Genomic DNA, 8,763 nt, shown 5'->3' on the forward strand with positions numbered 1-8,763 from the left:
AGGCATGATTGGTTTTGAAATGTGAGGACATGAGATTTGGAGGGGTCAAGGGTGGAATGATATGGTTTGGCTGTGTCCCCACCAAAATCTCAACTTGAATTATATCTCCCAGAATTCCCATGTGTTGTGGGAGGAACCCAGGAGGAGGTAATTGAATCACGGGGGCCAGTCTTTCCTGTGCTAGTCTCATGATCTTGAATAAGTCTCACGAGATCTGATGGGTTTTCCAGGGGTTTCCCCTTTTGCTTCTTCCTCATTTTCTCTTGCGGCTGCCATGTAAGAAGAGCCTTTCACCTCCCGCCATGATTCTGAGGCCTCCTCAGCCATGTGGAACTGTAAGTCCAATTAACCTTTTTTTGTTCCCAGTTTCGGGTATGTCTTCATCAGCAGCATGAAAATGAACTAATACATGGGCTGTCCTTACTTATAATAATGAGGCAAAGCAGATGCCCTGTGCAGCATCACAAATGGAATTTGTACATGCCCTGAAATGTGCCACTTGTCTTCAAGTGTGGTGTGAAGACTAGGTAGAAAGTTGTATGATGAACATTCACTATGGAAACTGATCCTGCCACTCAAATCCTCCTAGAATGACTAACAAAGAAACACATTCCAGGACCATAAGTTGTATATTAAATACCTCATCAGTTTATTTTGACAGAATTTATGGCACGATGAACATCCTGATGCCCTATATTCAAAACATCTTTCCAGCTGGGCTGACCTCGATGACTAAACGTTCCCATTTTCTCACTCCTTTTTACTGAAGCAAGATTTCTACTCTATTTGGGGCAAAGGAAAAGGGGTGAGGGATAGTGGTAACATCTTTGTCTGCTCTCTGCCATTAAAGCCATAGCTTAAAGCTGTTTAGGTCACTTTAGGTCCCTTCACCTGGATGGGCTCTGATGCAGAAGAATCAGCGTAGTTCTGGAAGGGCAAGCCCTACTAGGTGGGCTGGGGCAGCATGAAGACAATGGACTCCTGGCCTTGAGCATGGTGGAACGTGGCAATGAAGTGTGATGCCCAGAAAGTCACCAGAACAATTCTTCATTTATTTTCTAGGTTTTTTAGGTTTTTACTCTGCAGCCAGAGTAAACCTTTAAAAGTCCAGCTCCAACTATGCCATTCCTCTGTTTACTTCGGTGGCTTCTGATTGCTCTGAGAATGAAGATGGAGCTGCTCATATGGACTCCTGCTCACCTCTCTGGTCTTATTTCACAGTCCTATTAAATGCTCCTTTAACATATTATACTTTATAGGGCTTATTACAATTTTATTTTGATAATTGTGTAATTAGTTGCTTAATGTTTATTTCCACTAAATTGAAATCTTCATGAGATGGAAGACATTTTTTCCATCTTTCATTGATGCTTTAGTTTCAGAATGTGCTACAGAGCCTTGCTCATAGTGGATACTAAAAAGTTATTTGTTGAATGAAACGAGTAAGAAGACATTTTGGTTAGAAAACATAAGGTGTCTACAACCAAAATGTGGAAAAGGAAAGGAACAAATGGATAAATATTTCAAACTAACAACAATGTATTCTATCTTTGGGGGGGAGAATGTGAGTATTGTCTCATTAAAGCTCTGAATGGAATAAAAAGTTTTCTTTTTAGCTATATTCACACCTAATAACTCCTTCCAATGCACAAAACTTACTAAATTTAGCCTAAGTGGCAAATAGTTATTGTTATTGGTGATAAGAAATGGTGGTTAATTCTCATGCATCCATACATATTTTCTTTGACAAATTTTGATCGTGGGCTAACTTTTTTTTAATGCTAAATAAAATGCAAGATGATTTCTAACTCATCACTTCTAGGCTTGGGTTAGAGAAAACAAACCCAAACACTCTGAGAAAGTTCCAAATCGAAATCTAAAATCATCTGGAATTTTTGGCTGCTTTAGACTATCTACTTGTGGTCTGTATAAGCACATTAATACAATTAATTGAGAACTAGCTGTGTTGATATTATTAGTAATACTCCTTTTATTTAAACCACATTTGACACAGCAATTCTATTCCTAGAGTATATGTCCACAAGAAATGGATACAGATTTCTACAAAAAGACCTATTATGGGAATGTTCATGCTCACCCTATTCCTAATAGCCCCGAAATGGAAATAATTCAAGTGTCCCTCAACAGGAGAATGTCTATAAAGAACCATAAAATTTTATACTAGAACACGACTAATATTTTATATTAGAACATGACTCAGCAATAAAAAGGAATTACTGACACAAGCCACAGCATGTTTGATTCTCATAGATATGTTGAGCAAAAAAATTCATACTCTGTGGTTTCATCTAAATGAAGTTCAGGAACAGGCAAAACGAATCTATAGTTCAAAGCTAAAAATCAGGACAGTTGTTGTCTCTGGAGAGGGGACAATGAAGGACTGACTGGATAAGACCATGAGGAAACATTTTGAGGCTAAGGAAGTGTTCTATATTTTGATTTGGGTGATTGCAAAGTGGGTATATACATTTGTAAAAAATGCATTGAAGGAACACTTAAGATCAGCATACTTAAGATCTGTGAAAGTGTGTGGTCTAAGGTAGACTATGACTCAATAAACAAAAATGTCAAAAATGCAAACCAATAATTGGCATTGTCAAGAAAATACTTTAACAGCATCGGAAATAAAATATGCCTTGTTTTTCCCAGTGTATTTGACATAAAAATTGGAAAAAAATAAAATGGTCATTAATATACATGATCAGATATATAAATTAAATTGTGCCCCTAAGTTATAACAAACCTCATATGTGGTTAACCGACATGTCTACCCGTGAGTGCAATGGTGAAATTCTCAGCTCCACAGGGTAGGAATTTTTTCTTGTTTATATCTGTCTCAAGCATTTAGCTCAGTGCCTGAACTGGCTCTTAGCTTGAGTGAATCTGAAGAAGCCTGACCTTCTCCAGGCCTCAGTTTTTTCACCGATATAATGGAAATAATACCTGACTTTCCTAAGTGCATTGTATAAACAGCATAATAGACTATCTCAGACTGTTTGTACTGCTACAACAAAATACCTGAGATGGAGTAATTCATAAATAATAGACATTTATTTTTCACAGTTCTGGATGCTGGAAAGTCCAAGATGAAGGCTCTGTCAGGGTTGGCATCTGGTGAGGCCCCCCCTCCCTGCTTCTAAGGTGTCAGCTTGAACACTTCATCTTCACATGGCAGAAGGCACAGAAGGGCAAAAATGGCACTAGAGTGCTCCCTTCAGCCTCTTTTATAAGAGGCTTTAAATATTTTCAGTAGGTTGCTTTATGTGCCAGTTTTTCGCTTTTCCCATAAACTGATAAGATAATGATGACAGGACTCTAGGGAGACAAATACAGTCAAACTTTCAAAACTTGGCTCAAGGAATAAATCATCTATAGAGACTTTCTAGTACTCCCCCACTACACACACACACACACACACACACACACACACACACACACAAGCATGCACTTAACCCAAGTTGGCCACATTCTCTTTGGTGCCATAGGGGTGGGAATTTATTTTATTAATCTTTGTATCTTCAGTGTCTAGAACAAATAGTCCTTACACAAAAGGCATTTGATTTTTTTGAATAAATAAGCCTCAATGTATTATAGCAATATTAATATATAGTAATATATAGCAAGAGTGATTTGATTTTCTAGGGAATACAGAATGTGTGTTGCATTTCTGTATGAGTAGGTTTTCTTTATATCCTCTATATATGAATGAGAAAATTGCGTCTGTAGAGATTAAGTTCTTACTTGCTCAAGGTCACTCAGTGGCTGAAATGGGACTTCAATCCCACATTTGTCTGTCTCCTCCCAATAGTCATAACCACTTTGTCATACTGCCAGGTTATTAAAGTCACTTTTCTACCACGTATTATATTTCAGATCTAACCTAATCAAGTCTAGTTGGTGTAAAATAATCCTTCTAAAGATGGAAAGATTCTTCCTTTGATGATTAAGCTTTCATTGCTGGATAGAGTGCCAGGATAGAAATAAAAAAATTATGTTATAGGGTCAGGCAAGTCTCTTTTGAACTTTTTGGGCCAGGGTAAATCACTAGATCTCTCTGAGCCTTTATTTTATTATCTTTAATTAGAGAAAATACTATCTATTCTGTCTTACCTCACAGGACAGAGAGAATCATACAGTGACATGTGAAAGCATTCCATGAAATTTAAAATACCAGAAAAGTGTTTTTTTTAAAAAGTCATGTCAACACAAAAACATGAACCATTGCACTGTTGAATTCAAACATGCATGTATTTGGCCATTTTGAATTTTGGTCATATCTGTGTGTGTGTGTGTGTGTGTGTGTGTGTGTGTGTGTGTGTGTGTATAAGCTATTTTTAAATAAATCTTTAAAATGAAGATAACTTTTTGGTAATTTATGGGATATTTTTAATTGAAGTTTTTCTATTCAAACCAAGATGACCCCATGGATCAGTTTACCAGCCTGCAATGAGAGGCCTCGTGACCATGTGGCCTACTTATTTAAGCAGATGGAATAACACATTTGGTGTTAATTAAACCTTTAAAGGGTCTTCAAAGGGTAGCAATAAATACTACATATTTCCCTTATTTAAAACACTAGCTGATGAAGAGTTCTTTTTTCTTTTTAATGAATATAGGATTCCCATCTGTTATCTTTACAAAAATGCAGCATGTAATGCAAAAGCAAGAAATAGAATTGGAAAAATTGTGTCATTCTCTTTCTTTCACAGTAAACCATTCTTTTCCAGACGAAGCCTTTTTTTTTTTTTTTCTGCCACCATATCTCAGAGCCATGGGAAACTATTGATCAGTCCTTGATAAAGCATAAGTAGGTCTTTTGGTTCCTCCTGTTTTAAAGGCATAGTGATAGATACACCAGGTTGGCTCATTCAGCACCAATCCCAACCCCTGATTAGTCTGGCTCCGTGTACTTGAGAAGCTGGAAAGCTTAGGACTACATTTCAGTCCTCCGTGCAATCCACCTGGGAGAGACAGTGATGTGGAAGTGAGCAATGTGAGGAGAGAGAGGCTCTCCAAGCAGGCAGGTACAGGGGGATTTGCTTCCTTTGTGGCAGCCATGGTGGAGTTTCCAGTATCTAGTCCTAGCGTGTTAGGTTGCGGGTACAGAGAAGGGGGGGTGGCAGCAGCCTTTTAGCAATAAAAATCCTGTGAGGCAACTGAGCATTTTTCATACTTGTTTCCGTAGCTGACTGCATACAAGCTTGTTTTTCTGGCCCTCCCAGAGAAGTCTGTGAACTACCTAACATTCTTTAATCAACTCTAGTTTGCTTATACTAGTGAGAGCTGATTCTGTTGCCTGTAAGAGTACAGGCATGTATAAGGAATGCTACATAGGGTTTTAATAGTGAGGACATACATCTATTAATACACTTAAAAACTGCTAGTTGCCTATCCAACTGGCCTTTTCACTTTTCCTGTTATTAACAGAACCCCATTTTGTAGGGGCTAGGCAATGTCTCCGGTTGAAAAAAATGACATTTCCCAGCTTCTCTTGCAATTAAGCATGACTGCAGACATAATTCTAGCCAAAAGGATGTCAGCTGAGGATACCTGGGTAAGCTTTGCTTCCCTGATATAAGCACCATCTCGTTTATGCCTCTTTTCTGCCTGAAATATAGATGAAGCGGTTGGAGCTTCAGCATTCATCCTGGAATCACCATGGAAAGGCCCAGAGAGTGGCAGAGATCCTGTCCTGACATCCGTGTGCCTCAGTGCCCATGCCAGTAACAAACACCTGCATTACCTCTGGACTTCTTGTTGCATGAGGATAAAAATAGACACTTATGTGCTTTAGGCACCATAGTCAGTTGTTTAACACTGAAATTAGGTCCCTAACGTAACTAATTTCTAACTCAACTAAAAGTAAAGGTAATACAAGTTAGAAAATGTTCCAACAAAGCAGCTATTGTAGTCGTAACCATTTGGGTTTCTATAACAAAAATACCACAGACTGGATGGCTTGAAAAGCAAATATTTCCTGTTCACAGTTCTGGAGGCTGGAAGTTTGAGACCAGGGTGCCAGCATTGTCAGGTTCTTGATGAGGGCTCTCTTCCTGGTTTTTAGATAGATGGCTGACTTCTTGCTTCTCATATGGTGGGGAACAGAGAGAGATGGGAAGCAAGTTTTCTTGTGTCTGTTCCTATAAGTGCACTAATCCCATCACACAGGCTCCACCCTCATGACCTAATTATCTCCTAAAGGCCCCTTTCCCCAAATACCATCACATTGGGGATTGGAGTTTCCATATATGAATTTTTAGGGGGCATAAACACTCAGCCCATAGCAGCAGAAATTTTAATAACGTATACCTTTGGTAACAGGCAGCCTGCCCCTGTCTTATAATAGGAGCCTGGGCTAGATTCCCAAAGAGCCTCTCAGTTCCTTTCCTCACTTGTTGGCGTTCATTGATTCATTCACCTATTTCCTAAAGAAGGTCCCATCTCCTACATCCAGTAAGGTGAAGAAAAGGATCTTGCCCCTTCTCCGGGATTCCACACTCAACTCTCAAAGACCAAAATACAGAAGCCACAGAGAGACACATATCAGCTATCTATAAACGACTATTCTTCCAGAGCTCCCCAAATATCAAACAAGCATAATTGAAGGTAATGAGTTCCCAGTCACTTAAGGTATTCAAGCATAGGCTAAATGACATTTTGGAGGGGACATTTAAAGAGAGGGATCAAATATTAGACCATGGTTAGAAAGACAATTTGTTTTCCAGTTCTACAGTTCTTGGGTTCCATGTCAACACCTCATTCATAAATGTTTTGCAGTTGACTACCAAGAACTGGTTTGTTTCATTGACTCCCCCACTATCTTTGTGATGAACATCTACCTCTCCTATGTCTTGTGTGTTACAGGTGTACTCTTGTTTTAAATTTACAGGGTACAAGGAAAGGCTCTGGGGAGGAAATGAGAGTATGAAGCCAAAGTGAAGCAGACTAGGAAAAAAAAGTGAATAATGAAAAAAGACCAGTGCCTACAGAAGGGAGTTGGGTTCATTAAAGCAAAGGTTGAAAGCGAGTAGATTAAAAAGCTGAATTAGATTCAGTTCCTAGAAACAAAACTTTCTAGAGACTCGAAGGCATGAGGACCAGGTGAACTAGAGCATCTGGCTTAGGATGCTAGAGAAGGACCTAGAGAGAGCAGTTTCAGCCTGACTCGGGGGCAGAATGTGCTAAGCAGAAAGTCTGCTTTCCTTACACCATCAAGGTAGAGATGATTGCTCAAGGACAGAGGAGTATGGTGGGGTAAAAATAAATCACGCATCTAGTGGTGCCAAGCAAGAACCTGTCATATGCTGACCTGTTTGTAGTCTGCTACCCTGGGATTTCTCACCTGTACCAAAGTAGTTTCTTGTACTCTAAATCAGTTGGCTGAGTGCGATGTTCCTGATTACTCATTACAAAGACATGGTTGTGAGGGAGATTAGGGAGCAGTGCTGTGTTCCCAAGCCCCTCTGCCTGGGGAAGTAAGAAGATCAGGGGTTAACACAGGGAGCCTCATGAGTGGACATATCCTGCCTGTTTATCACCTGGCTCTTCTTTACCTGATCAACTCAGCTATCTCCAGCAACAGTTCTTCTGGTCCAGAGATATACCATGTTTCTGCCTGCTCAACCCAGGTGTCTTTTAAGATGAAAAGGTGTCTTGATTTCATTTCATGTTCCTTAGTATCTGGTTCCTAAGTTCTTCATGCTGGTTAATGTTTCAGGTGGTTGTAAAGAGGCAACATTCCTCAGAAATGCTAATGATATTTCCCAACCAACTAAATCACAAATCCTAACTGGATCCTCAGCCTGGTTTGCTTTCAACAAAGCAAATGATTACAAGGAAACAGAAAACAGACTCTGCTTTGACTTAGCTTCCTCTTGTCTGGCTTTGAGCCTTGCAGGGTCTGTTTCTCACCCCCACACAGTTCCCTATCACAGCTCAAGCTGCTGAGGAAGTGACTAGCAGAGGCTCTGTTTGAAGCACCCCTCTCTCTGCATCCTGCCTCCATGGAGAGGCACCCTTCCTTCCATGGCAGATGTTCCCGGAAAATGCTCTCCTAAAGTTTCACATGAGGCATTTCCAGACATGAAAAGCCTCTTTGCTTCCTCCACTGTGCATTCTCTTACCTCCCCACTCTATCAGCATCTAACATCAAGCAGCCCCACAACTCAGAGAAAAGCCACACATCAAACTCACCTTCAGAAAAGTCAGCTTCCACTTCCCGGGAATTTTAAGAATAGTCAGTTGTATTCTACAGGTGGCTGAATTCTTCTGAAAATAACATATAGACTCCCCCCAACTCCCACTCTGCCCTGAGAATGTTGGTATCTGTAGTGGGAAGGTATAAAACAAGAAATTACTTTTTTGATTTGTATTGGCAGCCCAGCTTTCTTTAAGTTGAAAATGTGCTACACATCACAACATTGAGGACTGGTCAGTCTGTCCTTCCTGCAGGAGCTTCTAGGCCTTCTCCAGAGCACTCGGCCTCCCTGCCTCCCTGAAGTGCCACCCTTCCCCAACACATTCCTTTCATCTTCTTAACAAAGAAGTGCTCCCTGCTTCATTCAGATATGACTTCAAGTCCAATTTCACCTTAGAATCCCTCACAGACTAGTAAAAAGTGATATTACTGAACACTTAAGTATGCCAAATTCCATGCATGTCTGCAACTCAGGGCTGTGAAAACACTCCATGTACAATTCATAATGTAAATGTGGATATCATTCATGCCATGTTAGCTGTATT

The 8,763-nt window shown here is 39.9% G+C and overlaps 1 annotated feature.

Moving 5' to 3' along the window:
• Window positions 7,244-7,833: an enhancer blocking element, noted in NCBI's record as "nonconserved region 19 (NR19) negative regulatory element (NRE) in the greater CFTR locus". NCBI's record gives its function as "modestly blocks activation of a gamma-globin promoter by the HS2 beta-globin enhancer when located between the enhancer and promoter in the forward orientation in transfected K562 cells {active_cell/tissue: K562}" and the evidence as "EXISTENCE:reporter gene assay evidence [ECO:0000049][PMID:18436892]".

Source organism: Homo sapiens, chromosome 7 (assembly GCF_000001405.40).
Source record: "Homo sapiens chromosome 7, GRCh38.p14 Primary Assembly".
In the NCBI taxonomy this organism is placed as follows: domain Eukaryota; kingdom Metazoa; phylum Chordata; class Mammalia; order Primates; family Hominidae; genus Homo; species Homo sapiens.